The 20,553-nt window shown below is 40.7% G+C and overlaps 1 long non-coding RNA gene and 1 pseudogene across 3 annotated transcripts; one reads left to right on the top strand and one right to left on the bottom strand.

Moving 5' to 3' along the window:
* Positions 1-502: 502 nt before the first annotated feature.
* Positions 503-19,875, bottom strand: LOC105372449 (uncharacterized). 3 transcript variants are annotated; one of them, XR_001753993.2, is made up of 3 exons: positions 19,788-19,875; positions 5,252-5,729; positions 503-1,024 (listed from the first exon to the last, which is right to left on the bottom strand). It is a non-coding gene; the product is annotated as an uncharacterized LOC105372449 (long non-coding RNA). The 3 variants fall into 3 exon arrangements; XR_936052.3 differs by lacking the exon at positions 503-1,024 and having other exon boundaries at positions 4,947-5,490; positions 5,603-5,729; XR_007067326.1 differs by lacking the exon at positions 503-1,024 and having other exon boundaries at positions 4,947-5,729.
* VN1R99P (vomeronasal 1 receptor 99 pseudogene) lies at positions 8,831-9,573 on the top strand (annotated as a pseudogene).

The raw sequence follows: 20,553 nt of genomic DNA, 5'->3' as shown, positions 1-20,553 counted from the left end.
CACATGGACAGATGGAGGGGAATGAACAACAGACACCGGAGCTTACTTGAGGATGGAGGCTGGGAGGAGGGAGAGGACCAGAAAAAAATACTGATCAGGTACTATGCTTAGTACCTAAGTGATGAAATAATCTGTATAACAAACCCCCATTATACAAGTTTACCTATGTAACAAACCTCCATATTTACCCCCGAACCTAAAATAAAAGTTTAAAAAAAAAAAGACTATTCATAAGAGGCTGGGTGCTGTGGCTCAAGCCTGTAATCCCAGCACTTTGGGAGGCTGAAGTGGGTGGATCACTTGAGCCCAGGAGTTCAAGACCAGCCTGGGCAACACAGGGAGACCCCTCTCTACAAGAAAAAAAAATTTAAATCAGTGAGGCCCAGCGGCATGCACCTGTAGCCCCAGCTACTCAGGAGGTTGAGGTAGGAGAATCACTTGAGCCCAGGAGGTGGAGGCTGCAGTGGGCTATGATCACACTTTTGTGCTTCAGCCTGGGGTGACAAAGTAAGACCCCATCTCTTAAAGAAAAATAAAGAATATGCATAGGAGACAAAAAATGTGTGCATAATTGCACACATAGGGTTCTCCAGAGAAACAGAAACAGTAGTTGTGTGTGTGTACATAGATATATGAAAAATATTATTATGAGGAATTGGCTCATGAGATTATGGAGAAGTCTCACAATCTGCCATCTGCAAGGTGGAGACCAACAAAAGCCAGTGTTGTAATTCCAGTTTGAGCCCAAAGGCCTGAGAACCAGGAAGTCCGTGGTGCCAGTCCTAGACCAAAGGAGGAAAAGATCAATGTCCCAGCTCAAGCAGGAAGGCAGGAGGAAAAAGAGGTAAATTCTTCTTTCCTCTACCTTTTGTTCTATCCAAGCCTTCAACTGATTGGATGATGCCCAGGGACACTAGGGAGGGCAATCCTCTCAGCTGAGAACATCGATTTGAATGCTTATCTCATCTGGAATCATCCTCACAGACGCCCTCAGAAATGATGTTCCATCTGCACATTCCTTGGCCTAGTCAAGCAGACACATAAAATGAACTGTCATAATGAATTAATATAATATGTATTATATAATATCAAGAATGCGATGTGCATGCTTATCTTAATGAACTTCAGGATATTTACGTATGATAACACATAGTATATACTATGTAAAAATAGTACTAGGCCAGGCACGGTGGCTCATGCCTGTTATCCCAGCACTTTGGGAGGCTGAGGCAGGCGGATCACCTGAGGTCAGGAATTCGAGACCAGCCTGGTCAATATGGTGAAACCCCACCTCTACTAAAAATACAACCAAAATTATCCAGGCATGGTGGTGCGCCTGCAATACCAGCTACTCAGGAAGCTGAGGCAGGAGAATCCCTTGAACCCAGGAGGCAGAGATTGCAGTGAGCCGAGATCATGCCACTGCACTCCAGCCTGGGTGACAGAGGGAGACTCTATCTCAAAAAAAAAAAAAAAAAAAAAAAGGAATATACATAGATACAAATTTAATGGGAAAATATTTAAATAATAAATTAAAGGCAAATTGTTCATTAATAATCCATGACTGATACTATTTGGATCTCCAGAAGGAACAATTTTTGGTATTAAGGTGTATTCTCCCTCTGAGGATTGAATACATATTCAATCTGAAATTGGATCTGAAGTTGCTCTCTGTCTACACACACGCACACACACACACACACACACACACACACACACAACTAACATATAATGTTCTAGGCTCAATATCGTACACACAACTAACATATTCTATTCTAGGCTCAGTATCTCAGAAGCAGAAATCAGTAAAGAGCTTCAAATTCTAAAGACATGGCATTTCCTGAGGAAGAGAGGACACAGCATCTCACCTGGTACTCCACATTGGCCTAGGAAAGAAGGATTTTCTTCTCTTCTCCTCTAAGCCCCCTTCTCATTATCTTGAAATATCTCATCTACATTTTGAGAATATGCCTTTTATGGCATCAACATGCACTTTCTGCTATGGGTTGAATTGTGTTCCCCCACCCAATTCATGTTGAAATCTTAACCCCCAGTACCTCAGCACACGACCTTTATAGAAATAAAGACTTTGAAGATGTAATCCCATCCACCACTATCCATACCTTGACCATCATCCCACTGCCGTTTAGGGCTTATTCATCCCCTAATCTTCTCTCTGTCCCATCCTTCTATAACCCCTTTACTGACACCTGCCCCACCCCCATCCACCCAAACCTTCTACATTTTCTTTTTTCTTTCTTTTTTCTTTTCTTTTTTTTTTTTTTTTTGAGACCGAGTCTTGCTCTATCGCCCAGTCTGGAGTACAGTGGCACAATCTCTGCTCACTGCAACCTCCACCTCCCGGGTTCAAGCGATTCTCCTGCCTCAGCCTCTGGAGTTGTTGGGAGTACAGGCGCCCACCCCATGCCCTGCTAATTTTTGTAGTTTTAGTAGAGATGGGGTTTCACCATATTGGCCAGGCTGGTCTCAAACTTCTGACCACGTGATCCACCTGCCTCGGCCTCCCAAAGTGCTGGGATTACAGGCATGCGCCACCACGCCCGGCTAATTTTGTATTTTTAGTAGAGACAGGGTTTCTCCATGTTGGTCAGGCTGGTCTTGAACTCCTGACCTCAGGTGATCTGCTCGCCTCCGCCTCCCAAAATGCAGGGATTACAGTCGTGAGCCACCGCGCCCAGCCCTTAGCATCTTATTCATCATATCACCGTGTTACTTATCTCCCCTGTTAGGCTGGAGCTCCCCCTCCTGGCCTCTGTCTCTGTCTTGGAATATTAACTACTCTGAGGACATCCATATCCCATTATTAGATTTTAAAGCAGATTTTTTTCCTTTTATTTGTAATCCTGTCTTGACACAGATGTGAGTTACTGGCTAGGGTTGGCTAGTTCCCCTTATTGAGCAGCTGATTGTGTCCACACCCTAAAGCCACGATGTACCCTAATCCCCATAGAGCTATGTACCAGCTTACCAGGGACAGCTGCTTTGGCCCAGAGTCCATGAAATAATTCAACATAGCCAACTCACAAGGCGTCATGTAACACTAGCTCAGCCTCCAGCTCCGACACTCATCATAAGCCCCCCTACTGCTCCAGCGTGCTGTTACTTAGCCCTTGGTGCAACGCCCTGCGTGGCTCTTTTGACATTTTTCTGTCCTTTGAAGCTGTAACTAACAGAATTCTGCCTTTCTTCTTTCCAAGTGTCACTGTCTTGTGTCTTTCTTTGAAAAAAATATTTAAATCTTATCCCACATATATGCTTTCTCTCCTTGTGTCTTTAACCCTGATGGACATAAACCTTCCTGGTTGTTTTACCCACCCCTGCCCATCCCTCATTTCTGCCTAGTGTCCCCTCTCCATTATCCCTTTTATCCCCATAACCACTGCACCCCGTAGTCCCTCAGAGCAGAATGTGTGCAGTTCCCTTAACTTCCTTGCACACTCTGTCTCATGCTACACTGAAACCCAGCAGAGCCCTTTAAACACACTGCATCCTGTAACCCCCAAGTGCTTAGGGAGTGGTGTCCGTGCTCTTAAAATGCCATGTCTAGTAGGAGTATCTCCGTTTACTTTCAGACTTGTTTCCTGAACACTAAGTTTGTTTGTTTTTTTTTTTTCTGAGATAGAGTGCAGTGGTGCAATTTCGGCTCACTGCAACCTCCGCCTTCCAGGTTCAAGCGATTCTCTTGCTTCAGCCTCCTGAGTAGCTGGGACTACAGGCATGCGCCACCATGCCCAGCTAATTTTTGTATTTTTAGGAGAGATGGGGTTTCACCATGTTGGCCAGGATGGTCTCGATCTCTTGACCTCGTGATCCACCCACCTCGGCCTCCCAAAGTGTTGGGGTTACAGGCATGAGCCACCGCGCCTGGCCATACGTTTTGATTTTTTATTAGGGCTTTGGATATACCATATCAATTCTGAACTCTGGAGGAACTGTAAATCTATATATAAGGCTGGACACTGGGAGGGGCTGGAAACTAATGGTCAGCTATGGAGAGTATGTGATCACACCTCAGTAAAACTCTGGGCACTAGGGCTTGAATGAGCTTCCCTGGTTGGCAATATCCCATAGGTGTTGTCGTGTATTGGTTCCTGGAAAGGAATTCACCTATGACTCTGCAGGGAGAAGACAAATGGAAGCTCCAAATGTGGTGCTTATCCTGGACTCTGCCCTGACTGCTTCTTCCCTTGGCTGATGCTACCCTGGATCTTTTTCATGTAATAAACTGTAACTGTGAGCATGGCAGCTTTCAGGGAGTTCCATGAGTTCTTCCAGTGAATTGTCCAACTTTAGGGTGATTTGGGGAAGCACTGAAATTGCAGTGGGCATCTGAAGTGAGTGTGGTCTTGTGTGGACTATGTTTCCTGTAACTTCTCAGTTTACCTCAAATGTCTCCTAGGAGAATGGAGAGTGGACTTAGGTCAAATTGTGGATTTGTGTGTTGGGAAACCAAAGTTTCATTTTCGGCTCTTCTATTTTAAACTTCCAAATTAATGGCATAACTGGTTAGTGCTTTTTACTAAAAATTCAGGAATGGTAAATGTAGAGAAATTTCCTATCTACTGCTGTTCAATTGAGAAGATAGCCTAGGTTTATCTAATAATTAAAAGAATGGCTGGGCATGGTGGCTCACGCCTGCAATCCCAGCACTTTGGGAAGCTGAGGTGGGCGGATCACCTGAGGTCAGAAGTTCAAGACCAGTCTGGCCAACATGGTGAAACCCCATCTGTACTAAAAATATAAAAAAATTAGCCAGGTGTGGTGGCATGCACCTGTAATCCTAGCTACTTGAGAGGCTAAGGCAGGGGAATTGCTTGAACCGGGGAGGTGGAGGTGGCAGTGAGCCGAGATTGCGCCACTGCACTCCAGCTTGGGCAACAGAGGAAGACTTCAACTCAAAAAAAAAAAAAAAAAGAATGGTAGAATTTGGCTGTTAAATCATGTGATCCTTGTGTTTTATTTGTGAGAGACTTTTTTTTTTTCACATCTTTCTCTTTAGAATATTTTTATGTCCAGACTTTTTCTGTCACTGCTGAGGTCACAATAGTAAAGTATATTTCCTAGAACGTGTCCATATTATCATTTCTAAATTAATTTACATTTAATTATACAAATGAGTCCAGCGATTTCTAATGCAAATTACTCCATGCTTTTCTCTCACATTTATCTCATTTTTTATTAATCCATTCTAGATCCTTTATCTGATTCCAGTTACCTGCTGAATACTTACATAATGGATCTGCAAATTAAGGATGAGCTTGATTTTAGGAAGAAGAGTATCTCATAGAATTAGGAAATCCAGTGAGACAAACATGCTTCTCTACAAGTGCCTCACAGATCAAACCTCAATATTTTCTGCTCCTTGCAGTCTTCAGGGATTGTGAAAAAGTAAGAGCCTCTTTTGGATACTTCAGTGGTCTCTTTGGAGACATTTATGAGAAAGTTGTAATTGCCTCTGGTAATTAGCAACTGCAAAAAGTTTTTCAAAAAGTTATCAACTCCCTAAGTCAGCTGTCATTGCTGCTACAGGTAAAATTATAATTGCACTTCTGAGGGAAGATGAGGTCACAGACTCACAAACCTTTATCTCAGGGTCTGGCTGCCTCCTTCCCACACAGTGCTGTTATGACCGTCACACAAACTGGGCTGTCCTGGCAGTGGGAAGGAATCAGGTGAGTATTTTTGTGTTTCAGTCTGGCAGGCAGAATCTGCAAGAAAAGAAGTCCAAGTGGTCATGTCTGGAAAGGGATTTCTCTTTTGTAGAAACAAAGTCAGTAGCAAAGCCAGACAGGGAGGAGGAATAATTACTCTCTTATGGGCTGAGTCAATAAAGAGAGATGAGAGGCCTAAACCTTATACCAATCCCTGATGGATACAAAGCTATCATAATAAAATCCGGACGAGCACGGTGGCTCACACCTGTAATCCCAACACTTTGGGAGGCTGAGGCGGGCACATCACTCGAGTTCAGGAGTTTGAGACCAGCCTGACCAACATGGCGAAACCCCATCTCTACTAAAAATACAAAAATTAGCTGGGTGTGATGGCTGGCGCCTGTAATCCCAGCTACTTGGGAGGCTGAGATAGGAGAATCACTTGAACCCGGGAGACGGAGGTTGCAGTGAGCTGAGATCACACCTCTGCAGTCCAGCCTGGGTGACAATACTAGACTCCATCTCAGAAACCAAACAAAACGAAGGTAACTTAATAAAATCTTCACTTAGGATGAGAGTTGGTGAATAATTCCAGTAATAATTAAATAAGATTTATGGTGCTCAAGGATTGTAGTAAATAAATATATATGTTGTTCACACACCTCATAAGAATCACACAGTACATTTACAGTATTTTTAATAATATGCTTATACTGCCTCCATGATTATAATGAAGAGTAGGATAGAGCTAGAAAAATTACCTTATCCTGTGCAGAAACCATATATCTGAAATCATTTCCAGAATAAAATTGTTTTTTAAGAAATCTAACTCTGTATAAATGATGCGCTTAATGGAGACAGTGATTGTCCTCCACGGAAAACCTCTGTGCTCTTAGGATTATGGTGAGGCTGCTTTCCCTCTTGAGGTTAGGGAAGTAGCATTTAAGGGAAGGGTAACTTTACTATTAAGAGTTGCAAACAGCAGTAGTCAGGATCAACTGTATCTTGTGTTATTTTTCCTGGTCAAAAATATTCTGCATAACTCTTTAATTTTTTTTTTTTTTGAGATAGTTTTGCTCTTTTTGCCCCAGATGGAGTGTGTGATTTTGGCTCACTGCAACCTCCGCCTCCCGGGTTCAAGCTATTCTCCTGCCTCAGCCTCCCGAGTAGCTAGGATTACAGATGTATGCCACCATGCCTGGCTAATTTTTGCACTTTTTTTAGTAGAGACAGGGTTCCATCACGTTGGCCAGGCTGGTTTCGAACTCCTGACCTCAGGTGATCCACCGACCTCGACCTCCCAAAGTGCTGGGATTACAGGCATGAGCCACGGTGCCCGGCCTATCCTACTCTCTCATTCTATGAGGCTATTTCAGATTACACACACAAGTGAATCATGCAGTATTTGTCCTTCACTGACCGCCTTACTTACTTAGCATAACGTCCTTAAGATTTATCCATGTCGTCATCTCTTGCAGAATTTCCTTCTTTCTAAAGGCTGAATAATGTTCCACTGTATATTCACACATCCCATTTTTTTCGTCCATTCATCATTCAATGGATAGTTAGGTCGTTTCCACATCCAAGCTATTGTGAGCGGTGCTGCAATGACCATGGAAGTTCTGATATCTCTGAGGTCCTGATTTCAGTTATTTTGCTATATACTCAGAAGTGGGAAGGCTGGATCATATGGTAATTGTCACTATTTTATTTTATTATTTTATTTTATTTTAGAGACAGAGTTTCCCTGAGTAACTGCAGGTCTGCAGGCGTGCACCACATCTGGCTTCATTTTAATTTTTCTGAGGAACATCTGTATCATTTTCCATATAGACAGCACCATTTTGCATTTTCAGCCACAGCGTATAAGAGTTACAATTTCTCTGCCTCTTTGCCACACTTGCTGTTTTGGGTTTTTGCTAATAGTAATTATAAGAGGTGTGAAGTGATGCTTCACTCTGGTTTCGACTTGTATTTTCTGCAGAATCAATGACATGGAGCATGTTTTTATACACCTGTTGGGCATTTGAATGTCTTCTTTGGAGTAATGCTATTCAAGCCTTTAACCCATTTTAAAATTGATCTATTACTTTCTTGTTTTAGGAGTTATTTTTTGCTATTGAGTTGTAAAAGTTCACTTTACTATGATTTCAACATCCATAATGCTCAAGATTTTGTGTTCTCCAGATTCCATTTTGCAGATATTTCTTCTGTTTTAATGTATTTTACAAATTACACTACCCTGCTAATAGTTTCACATAACTTGTACATTAACATATTGATTTCTGACTGATCAAAAATTACCAATAATTGAGTTTCTATCTATATTGTTTTATTACCTGTTAGTATTTCATGTTTAACAGTCTAGAAACAGAGTAATATACTTCAATAATTTCATTGATAAATGCTGTAGTATTTTCTCCTCCTATTGGATGAGTTAATGAGTTTTTCTGCTACCAAAGTAATATTGAGCCATTCTTGCATTCAGTAAATCCAACTTGTACCAGGGGAAGTTTCCTTCAGGATTATACTCTAAATAGTGCACCAACAGTGTATTGGGATTTCAAAGGTTACTGACATTGGATATTGACTTATGCAGTAATTCTTTACACAGGAATGGAAACTTGTTTTGAACAAAATTATAAAATAAAATACCAGAGATGGAAAATAAAATGGCATGGTAAACAAACAAAACTAACTAGGTCCAGATTTTTTGAAAACACAGCTGAATGGTCTGTTAGGATAGCACAGGCCTTAGCAATCACCTTTGCAGACACCCTAGTCAGGTGCAAGTCTCCTCTCAGCTCCTAAGCAGCTTGTGAATTTCCACAAATCACTGCACCTCTCTGTATCTTAAGTTCCTTTTGTCTCTACAAGGAAAAGTATGCCAGTGAATCCATCATACAGTTACAAAAATCAAAGAAGGTATACATATCACATTACAGCAGTGATTCCCATATCGTAAGTGCTCTTTAAATGTTATACATTCAACCCTAGAAAGCCTCTTTGCAAAACAAAACTTTAAATGTTTCTCAGTAGAATACGGGTTTTTCCATTGATATTATTAATGGATAATATCACCTCACCTACACTTCATGTTCTCTGCAGGATCTTCTGGCTCTAAAGATGAATATCAGTCACTGGGAACTCGCAGAATGGCCTCCAGGGAGTTGGCAATAGGAATGATCTACTTGTCGTAGAATTTTGTTGGAATCCTGAAGAGTTTCTGTCTTCTTTACTATTATGTCTTCTTTTACTTAACAGGATGCAGGTTGAGGACCACAGATTTGAATTGGAAGCACCTGATTATAGCCACTTCTTACGCATTCTGTTTAAGGGTATCCCCAAGACACACCTCTGTATGCAGCACCAAATCAATGTCAGATTTTATATTGAATAATTTCCTTCATGATTTTGGATTCTGATTTGCTATCCTCACAGAGTTGGTAGGGTGTGACCGTTGGCACCACCTGTGCCTGCAGTGTTTCAAGCCATCATGATGAGCCCCAGGAACTCCAGATGTATAGAATTTAACATAAACTATCCTAAGTATATGGAGCTTTCTATTTTCCTCTACTGGACCTTGAATATGCTGATAAATATGGTTTTACCCTATGCGTGTGATTGCCAAACAGCAGCAGAAACATTACAAACAAAACAAGATAGGATAGTTTTCTTCTGTATTCAGGACAAAAATCAAAGAATCAGCATATATAGCATTGGTATTATTCTCTTATGTTTCTTGCTGTGGCTGTTAACCTGTGCCTGCGTCTTCATAAATTTTATCTGGTACAGACACAAGTGGAAGCTCACACACATTCTTAGCACCAATATCCCCACCCTGAACTTCTTTTAACTCTTTTCGGTGATATGTATTATTATTTTTTATTTTTTTAATAGTTTTTTTAAAATTAAATTTTAAGTTCCAGGATAAATGTGCTGGATGTGCAGGTTTGTTACATAGGCAAATGTGTGCCGTGGTTGTTCGTTGCACCTATCAACCCATCACCTAGGTATTAAGCCCTGCATGCATTAGCTATTTATCCTGATGCTCTACCTCCCCTCCACCTCTTCGACAGGTTCCAGTGTGTGTTGTTCCTCTCCCTGTGTCCATGTGTTCTCATTGTTCAGCTCCCATTTATAACTGAGAACATGTGGTGTTTGGTTTTCTGTTCCTGTGTTAGTTTGCTGAGGATAATGGCTTCCAGTGATATGTATTTTGATTAAGTCAAAGACTTATTATAGGTTATAAATCACAGTTCCCTGGAATTTCACAAAAGAACATAACTCTTTATGCAGCACATGGATGAGGAAACAATACTGCCAGTTCACCAGAAGTTCCTCTGTGCTAAGTCACTATCCTCAAGGCTGTCGTTCTGTTGGAACTATTTGTAGAAGTGTTGCTGTCAAGATACTGGTTTACATTTATTCCAGTATTTAAGAGATTAAATCACATTTGTCTGTTTGCTACTTGATATAAATGAAATCAGCATAAATTATTTCATATTTGGCTCCTATATTCCATAAGAATTTTTTGTGAATATATCTTTATGATTATGGTTTTTGTTGTTTGTTTGTTTGTTTTGATATGGAGTCTCGCTCTGTTGCCCAGGCTGGAGTGCAGTGGCACGATCTCATCTCACCACAACCTCCACCTCCCGGGTTCAAGCAATTCTCCTGCCTCAGCCTCCCCAGTAGCTGGGACTACAGGCATGCGCCACCATGCCTGGCTAATTTTTGTATTTTTAGTAGAGACGGGTTTTCACTATGTTGGCCAAGCTGGTCTTGAACTCCTGACCTCGTGATCCGCCTGCCTCAGCCTCCCAAAGTGCTGGGATTACAGGGTGAGCCACTGTGCCCGGCAACAGAGTGAGACTCTGTCTCAAAAAAAAAAAAAAGTTAAACTCCAAGACACATATGCATCAGTTTCTTCAACCCAGGAACAAAAGAATAACTGAAAATTGCCCTGCAAAAAAGGCAAATCAGTTTTATCCTCAGACAATATCTAAATTCATGTAGTATTAGAGCTTTCTACATGAACTCTAGAGTCGCTGAAACTCAAGCTAGTAAGACATTCATTGGCTGAATCCCAAGGAAGAAACTAGGGTTTCCACAAGCACTGCTAAGATAGAGGAGAGTCAATAGAGGAAGAAACCCACTACAGCATTTTCTCCTACCTTGAACAGAGGCAGTTATGAGTCCTACATCCAAATAGCCACCTCTGAGACCCTTCTCTTCCCTATAGGTTCTCCCCCTCTTCCTGTAATGTCAACCCGAGACTTCACTGGAGACTGAAATTGCAAAGACTAGTTTAGAAATAGAAATTTAAAAAATAGAAGTGGGCTGGGTGTGGTGGCTCACGCCTGTAATCCCAGCACTTTGGGAGGCCGAGGCGGGCAGATCACCTGAGGTCAGGAGTTCAAGACCAGCCTGGCCAAAGTGGTGAAACCCCGTCTCTCCTAAAAATACAAAAATTAGCTGGGCATGGTGGCAGGCACCTGTAATCGGGAGGCTGAGGCAGGAGAATCGCTTGAACCCGGGAGGCGGAGGTTGCAGTGAACCGAGATCACACCATTGCACTCCAGCCTGGGGAACAAGAGCAAGACTTCATCTAAAAAAAAAAAAAAAAAAAGACTAGAAGTGAAGTTGTTTTGAAAAAAAATCCCCAGGATTTCTCTTTCTTTTTGTGACAAACTCTGTTTTAATTCCATTTCTTTAGATTCTGTATTTGTCTGTTTGGCACCTGTCCATCACAGGGCCAATTATATTTATTATATTTCCTTATTTTCTGTGTTCTTTGGTGCTGTGACTGTGTCTTCCCTGACTGGGTAGAGACTGCCCATCTTGGGGCTAGCACATTCTTAGATGTAGAAGTGGGTTTCCTGGAGCCAGCCTTTCCTATTAAAATTTACCCACCCAGAGCCCATGCCCCAACCCTCTCCATGTCAAACTCTCACACACCAAGCCAATATTCTGCTCTCCTAAGTCAACACAAAGCCAGGTACCAGACAACTAGGAACAGCCCCTTTCCCCAAGGCCCTCAGGAATGCCTCAATCTGGCCAATCCTGAACTGTGCACCCTGCTCTGCCCTGCCTTTCCTTTAAAAATCCCATTGGCCTCTCTGTGTCATCACTCAGTTACTTTTCTAAATTAAGACCCATGCACTGAATAATGTCAGAGCTAGAAGATAGAAGTCTGCTTCTGATGTGGTGAAAATTAAGAACAAAGGGATTTTACAGAAGGTTGAGAAAAATGCCCTCTTTGGTTAAATCCTGTAATTTTAGATTCTGTGAGCATCAGAAATCAGGAAGCAAGATCCAAAACATCTATGACTATAATATGAAGCCTCACACATGTGCAGTGATTTATATTTACCACCTCCTTTCACGTGCAGAATGCCCTGTGAGACTCACAATATCCCTGCGAGGAATGCTGGCAACTGCTATATCACTGGAGGATTCAGACTTAGAAAAGTTAACGATTTGTCCAAAGACAGCAACAGGAAGTTCTGCGTCTAAAACCAATCAGTACTCTTCACACTACATCTCAGCAGTTTCCCTCTAATGGAGAAGACCCCTTGGTGACTTTGTTATCCTTTAATTCCTGAAAATGGGCAAACAATAATAATGGGAGATGTACGCCCAGATTCTGCTTTCTTTATACCTCCCTGTGAAACCTCTCCTTTCTGAGAGGCTCAAGCTGTAAGAACTGACATCCTCAGAGACTGGCAACCTGGAACTCATGAGGAGAGATTATTAGAAACTCATAGAGGTGTCAGCATTGAAATGGGAGATTCTGCTGGGTGCATTGGCTCACACCTGTAATCCCAGGACTTCAGGAGGCTGAGGCAGGTGGATCACTTGAGGTCAGGGGTTCGAGACCAGCCTCAGCAACATGGCAAAGCCCTGTCTCTATTAAAAATACAAATAGCCAGGTGTGGTGGCGGGTGCCTGTAATCCCAGCTACTCGGGAGGCTGACGCAGGACAATCACTTGAACCCAGGAGGCAGAGGTTGCAGTGAGCCGAGATTGTGCCACTGTACTCCAGCCTGGGTGACACAGCGAGAGTCTGTCTCAAAAAAAAAAAAAAAGAAAGAAAGAAAGAAAGAAAAGGCAGATTCTTGCCTTGTGTGTTAATCTGCTCAGGCTGCCATAACAAAATGCCATTGACTAGGTAGCACAAACAACAGATATTAATTTTCTTAGTGTTGTGGAGACTGGAAGTTCAAGATTGAGGTGAAGGCAGGCTTGCTGTTTTCTCCTTGGCATGCAGATGGTCGCCATTATGAAGTGTCCTCAAAGTCTTTATGTGCACGACACTCTGGTGTCTCTCTCTGTGTCCATATTTTCCCTTTCTATAAGAACATCAGTCAGATTGATTGGACCCCACTCTAACACCCTCATTTTAATTTAATCGCCCTTAAAGGGTTCTATCTCAAAACACATTCTAAGGTACTGGAGATTCGGGGCACTTCAACATTTAGATTTGGGTAGCAGCACAAAATTTTTCACATAACACCTTTCAGTGATCCACCCTTTGGCCCCTTTTGGCTGAGCAAAGTGGCTTATGCCTGTAATCTGAGCACTTCAGGAGGCTGAGGTGGAAAAAATCCCTTGAGCCGAGTTCAAGGCTGCAGTGAGCCATGATCGCCACTGGGTGGCAGAGCAAGATCCCATTTACTGAAGCAAAAAATGAACTAATCAGGGAATTTAGGATACCCATCACATTAAATGCTTATCATTTCTTTGCGTTGAGAACATTTTAGATCGTCTCTTAGCTATTTTGAAATGTACAATAAATTATTGTTAACAATAATCTCTACTGTGCTAACAGTAGAGCTTATTCATTCTAACCATATCGTTGTACTAATTAATCAAAATTTCTTCACCACCAGCACCCCAACTTTTTGCTGTACAGAAGTTTTGGATATAATCCCAATTGTCTATTTTTGCTTTCATTGACTGTGCTTTTGGGGTCATATCCAAAAATCATTGCTTGGACAAATATGATGTAGCTCTTCTCCTATGAATTATTCTAGTAGTTTTATAGTTTCAGACCTTATGTTTAAGTTGTTAACGCATTTTGAGGCAATATTTGAATAAAAATCGGATTAGAAAACCCCAATTTTATTGTTTTTCTATGTAGATATCCAAATGCATCCTTCCACATCATGTGTTCTTGGCACTATTGTTGAAGTCAGCTGACCATGAATGCATGGGCTTATTGCTGAGCTCTCTATTCCATCCCATTGGTCCATCTGTCTGTTTTCATGCCAGTGTCATATGTTTTGATTAGTATAGCTTCATAGTAGATGTTGAAATCAGGTAGTGTTATACCTCCAGCTTTGTTTCCTTTACCCAAGATTACTTTGGAAAATTTGGGGGGTTTTGGGTTTCATATGAATTTCAAGATTGTTTTTTCTATTACTGTGAATAATGCCATTAGAATTTTGATAGGGGTTGCACTGAATCTGCAGATTGCTTTGGTTAGTACGGACATTTTAACACTATTAATGCTTCCAATTCCCAACCACGACATATCTTTTCATTTTTTTTGTATATTCTTCAGTGTTTTATCAACATTTTATAATTTTCTGTTTACAGGTTATTCACCTCTTCAGACAAAATCACTTCTATGTATTTTATTGTTTTGCTGGTTATTGAAAAAAGATTGTTTTGATTTCTTTTGCAGAGAGTTAATTGTTAGTATATAAAAATGCAACTAATTTTGCTCACCAATTTCTTATCTTCAAACTTTTTAAAGTTCATTTATTATCACATTATTTCTAACAGTATTTTTGTTTAGTCTTGAGTTTTCTGTGTATAAGATCATTACTAAACAAGCATAATTTCACTTTTCTTTTTTATTTGAATGCTTTATATTACTTTTTCTTGCCTGATTGCTCTGGCAAGAACGTTCACCACTATGTTAAATATAAGTGGTGAGAGTGTGCTTCCTTGTCTTGTTCCTGATCATAGAGGCAAGGCTTTCAACTGTTCATCTTTGGGCATAGTATTAGCTGTGGGTTGGTCATATGTGGCGTTTGTTGTGCTGAGGTACATTCCTTCTATACCTAATTTGATGAGAGTTTTTATCATGGAAGAATGTTGAATTTTGTCCAATGCATTCAGTGAATCTGTTGAGATGCTCATATGGATTATGTTTTCATTCTTTGTATGTGGTGCATCACATTCACCGATTTGCATAGGTTGACCCATCCTTCATCCAGGGATAACCTACCACTTCATTATGGTAAATAATCCTTTAATGTGTTGCTTTTTTTTTTTTTTTTGAGATGGAGTCTCACTCTGCCACCCAGGCTTCACCTCCTGGGTTCAAGTGATTCTCCTGCCTCAGCCTCCTGAGTAGCTGGGAATACAGGCACCTGCCACCATGCCCAGCTAATTTTTGTATTTTTAGTAGAGACACGGTTTCACCATGTTGGCCAGGCTGGTCTCGAACTCCTGACTTCAGGTAATCCACCCACTTCAGCCTCCCAAAATGCTGGGATTACAGGCATGAAGCCACCGTGCAGGCCAATTTTTTTTTTTTTTTTTTGCTAGTATTCTGTTGAGGATTTTTGTATCTAAGTTCATAGGGAATGTTGACCTGTAGCTTTTTCTTGTATTATCCTTGTGTGTAGCTTTGGCATCAGGGTAATGCTGGCCTCAAAAAAGAGAATGGAAATGTTTTCTACTCTTAAATATTTTGAAGGAATTTGAGAATGATTGGCATTACTCTTTTCTTAATGTTTGGTAGAATGCTGCAAAGAACACATCATGTCCTGGGCTTTACTTTGATGCAAGTGTTTTATTACTGATTGAATCTCGTTTCTCATTCTTGGTCAGTTCAGATTTTTAATTCGTTTTCGTTTTTCTTAATTTTATTTATTTGAGATAAAAGTCTCCCTCTGTTGCCCAAGCTGAAGTACAGTGGTGCGATCTAGGCTCACTGCAACCTCCACCTCCCCGGTTAAAGTGATTCTTGTGCCTCAGCCTCTCAAGTAGCTGGGATTACAAGCATGCACCACCACACCCAGCTAATTTTTGTATTTTTAGTAAAGACACGGTTTCGCCATGTTGGCCAGGTTGGTCTCAAAACTCCTCACCTCAAGTGATCTGCCTGCCTCAGCCTCCCAAGGTGGTGGGATTACAGGGGTGAGCCACTGGCACCTGGCCTAATTTGTTTTCCTCAATTCTGCATTAATGAAAGATACTTTCTATTTCCTCATGATTCAGTCTTAGCAGGTTTTATCTTTCTAGGAATTTCTCTACTTCTTTTAGATTGTCTAACTTGTGGGCATATAGTTGTGGATAATGTTGTCTTATGACCTTTTGTATTTCTGTGGTATTAAGTGTAATGTCTCATCTTCCATGTCTGATTGACTCTTCTTTTTTCTTGGTTTGTTTGGCTAAAGGTTTGTGATTTATCTTTTCAGAAAAGCAAACTTAGTTTCAAGGATCTTCTCAATTGTGTTTTTCTGCTCTCTCATTTTTTTCTGATTACACTGGATCTTTATTACTTCCTTCTTTTTACTGACTTTGAGTTTAGTTTGCTTGTCTTTTTCTAGTTCCTTAGGGTGTAATGTTAGGTTTCAGAGACCTTTGTTGTTGTTGTAGGCATTTATTGCTCTGATCTTCCCCCTTAGAACTGCTCTTGCTGCTTTCCACAAGATTTAGTATGTTGTGTTTCTATTTCTGTTTGTCTCAAGATACTTTAAAATCTCTCTTGTGATTTCTTTTTTGACCCATTGTTTGGGAGCATGTGGTTTAATTTTCCCATATCCCTCCATCTTGAAATTCCCCGTTATTGATTTCTAATTTTGTCCCATTGTAGTAGGAACTAATACTTGATATAATTTCAATTAAATTTGATAAGATTTGCTTTGTCTTATCTATATGATCTGTCCGGAGAATGTTCCATATGCCTGAGAAGAATGATACTCTACTACTGTTTCATGGAATGTTCTGTGTATGTCTGTTAGGGTACATTTGGTCTAAAGTGCAGTTTGCATCCAACGATTCCTTATTGATTTTCTGTCTGAATGATCTGTCCACTATGGAAAGTAAGATATTTAAGCTCCCTACTAGTATTGTATTGCAATCTGTCTCTCCCTTCAGATTAATATTTGCTTTATATATTAAGGTTCTCTGATGGTGCACATATCTACATTTACAATTCTTATATCCTCTGGATGAATTCACCTCTTTATCATTGTATAATGACAATTTTTGTACTATTATAGTTTTTCCTTAATGTTTATTCAACCTCTACTCTGTTTTGGTTTCTATTTGCATAGAATATCTTTTTCTAGTTCTTCACTTTCTGTGTTCTTAATGGTTAAGTTAGTCTCTTCTCACAGCATATACTTGGGTCTTTTAAAAAATTATTATGATATTCTGTGTCTTTAAATAACTTAATCCATTTACATTCAAGGTATTTATTTATTTGATGGAGTTTTGCTCTTGCAACCTCCGCCTCCTGGGTTCAAGCGATTATGCTGCCTCACCCTCCCAAGTAGCTGGGATTACAAGTGCCCGCCACCATGCCCAGCTAATTTTTTTTATTTTTAGTAGAGACAGGGTCTCACCATGTTGGCCAGGCTCATCTCGAACTCCTGACCTCAGGTGATCCACCCGCCTTGGCCTCCCAAAGTGCTCAGATTACAGGCTTGAGCCACAGCGCCTGGCCTCATTCAAGGTAATTATTGATAGTTAAGAACTTACTCCTGGCGGGGCGCAGTGGCTCATGCCTGTAATCTCATCACTTTGGGAGGCCAAGGCAGGCAGATCACAAGGTCAGGAGTTCGAGACCAGCCTGGCCAATATGGTGAAACACCGTCTCTACTAAAAATACAAAAAAATTAGCTGGGTGTGGTGGCAGGCACCTGTAGTCCCAGCTACTCAGGAGGCTGAGGCAGAATTGCTTGAACTGGGGAAGTGGAGGTTACAGTGAGCTGAGATTGCACCACTGCACTCCAGCCTGGGTGACAGAGTGAAACTCTGTATCAAAAAAAAAAAACAAAAAAAACCTTACTCTTCATTTTATTATTTCCTCATTGTTTTCTAGATTCTTTGTTTCTTCCTACTCACTTGCTGTCTTTGTTATTAGATGCATTTATGAACTGGTATGTTTAGGTTTCTTGCTTTTTATCTTTTGAATACTTACTATAGGTTTTTTGCTTCATGATTAGCATGAGTCTTGCATATAACATATTTTACTTATAAATGGCTATTTTAACCTGATAAAGTTAACTTCTATCACATAGAAAACACTACACTTTTATTCTTCCACCCACATTTTATATTTTTGATGTTAGACTTCTTTTATATTGTATATCCCTAAACAAGTTAATATGCCTATTATGTTTAACAGTTTTGCCTTTTAGACTTTATACTCAATATATAAGTGATTATCATACTTCCATTACAGTGTTAGAGTATCCTGAAATTTGATTCTGCATTTACTTTTATCAGAGAGTTCTATCCTTTCACGTTTCCACGTTACTACTTAATGTCCTTTTTTTCATATTAAAAAAAAACTCCCTTTATCGTTTTCGTAAGACAGGCCTAGAAGTGATATACTTGCTTAGCTTTTGTTTGTATGGGAAAGTCCTTATACAACGTCCTTCATTTGTAAAGGACAGATTGCTAAGTAAATTATTCTTAGCTTCCAGGGTTTTTTTCTGCTGTAATGTAATAATATCAACCTACTGTCCTCCTGGCCTCTAAGAGTTTTTACTGAGAAGTCTGCTGATAGCTTTATAGAGTTCCATTGTAAATGATGAGTCTCTCTTCTTTTGTGCCTTTAAAACTCTGTCTTTGGGCCGAGTGCGGTGGCTCATGCCTGTAATCCCAGCACTTTGGGAGGCCAAGGCAGGCAGATCACTTGAGGCTAGGAGTTCAAGACCAGCCTGGCCAACATGGTGAAACCCTGTCTCTACTAAAAAATATAAAAATTGGCCAGGTGCGGTGGTGCACACCTGTAGTCCCAGCTACTTGGGAGCCTGAGGCACGAGACTCGCTTGAACCCAGGAGGCAAAGGTTGCAATGAGCCAAGATGGTGCCACTGCACTCCAGTCTGGGTAACAGAGCAAGACTCTGGCTCAAAACAACAAAAAACAAAAACCCCTGTGCTTTTGTCTTTGATTTTTGACAGTTTATTACAACACGTCTTGCTGAAGTTTTATTTGAATTAAAACTAATTGGAGACCTTTAAGCTTCCTACACCTAGACATTTATCTCTTTTCCCAGGTATAGACATTTTTGGCTACTATTTCTTTAAATAAGCTTTCTATAGCCTTCTTTCTCCTTTCTTTCTTGAAATCCTGTAATGTGAACTTGGCTCTTTTGATGCTGTCCTGTACATCCTGATGACTTTATTTTTTTATATTCTTTTTTCTTTCTTCTCCTCTGAGCATGTATTTTCAAATAACTTATCTTCAAGTTCACAAATTCTTCCTTCTTCTTGTTCAATACTGTTGTTACCTCTCTATTGCTTTTCTCATTTCACACTCCACAATTTCTGGTTTTGATTAGGTCAGAGTATACATAGATATCTAAGAGATGAGGCAGTACAGCTGATATTTGGGTTACATACAGAATAGCAGGGGAGTTATTAGTGTATATAAAGTATGATGAGAGAATGAAGGTGGGAAGTAAGGAGGCCCAAAAGATCAAGTGGGGTCAGCACAGGTGGTAGTGAACCCATGCCCAAAGAGTTAAATAAACCAGTAACTAACAAAGATTATGAATTTACAGAACAGCAGATAAGAAATAACTTTCTGAAATGCTCAAACTCCCTCTACAAAACTGGCCAAAATTGGTTGAAACCAATATGGCCAAATGGAGTTTGCACAGACCAAGCATGCTGATGTCACAGCCTGAATTTCCTCACCATGTTTCAAACTCCCACTAAATGTGCGCATGATGCATGAGGAGACATGAAGAGAACTGTGCATGCCTGAAGACTTTCCAGACCTCTCCTTTCCTTCTACCTATCACCTGAGAACCCCAGAATCCACCTCCTAAACGTTTTATAATTAAATTACTGCCTTAAAACCAGCACAGGGAGACAGATTTGAGCTTGACTCATCTTGTGAGTCAACTTACAATAAAAAACTTTTCTTTCTCAAAAACCTGGTGTCAAAATATTGGCTTCCAGTGCCTCAGGGAGAGAGCTCCTTTTGCTTGACAACAGTAGTATCAATTAGACCAGATGGTATAACAGGGACTGCAGGTTCATCTTTTCTTAGTGCCTTTCCCCACCCTTAAGAATCTTTTGGGACTGTTCCATTGCTGTGTGATGCAGGCACAGAACTCAAGAGTGAACATGCTGAGAATTCTCGATGCCAGGCTGCCCAAGGCCACAGTGAGCATCAGATAAGGGAGAACTATTCCTTTGTTCTGAAGACTTCATGACTCAGGGCTGAGCTCAATCTAAATGACATGCAGCATTATTTTCTACTTACTATGTAGTCTAGGGTTCCTCCTGTTTCTCTGCCACCTAGAGATCAATTCATTTTTATCAATATTTGGGAAAATCAGTGACATAAATCAGGTAAGAGGACCCTAGATCCAGCCTCCAGGATCCTGCCCTTTGCCTGTTGATCCTGCCCTTTGCCTTTGCACTTTTCTAAATAAATTACACTAGCACAGACACACTGACATGCAGACTCTTGGGAGATACCAGCACATAAGCACTTCAGAGCAGTTTGGGGATGACAGGTATCAGAGTGAGGGCTAGGCTGGGGCTTCTATCTGAAGTTCATAATCTATCTGTGTGTGTCGGCTAGCTCCTGGGAAAATCCCAGGGTATTTCTGTGGCCATGGGGGAGATTATTGAGACAGGGCAGGATCCCTGCAGAAGTGTCTCCCA

This window comes from Homo sapiens, chromosome 19 (genome assembly GCF_000001405.40).
Source record: "Homo sapiens chromosome 19, GRCh38.p14 Primary Assembly".
In the NCBI taxonomy this organism is placed as follows: Eukaryota; Metazoa; Chordata; class Mammalia; order Primates; family Hominidae; genus Homo; species Homo sapiens.
The sequence above is the reverse complement of the archived record's forward strand: the minus strand, read 5'-3'. Positions and strand labels throughout refer to the sequence as shown.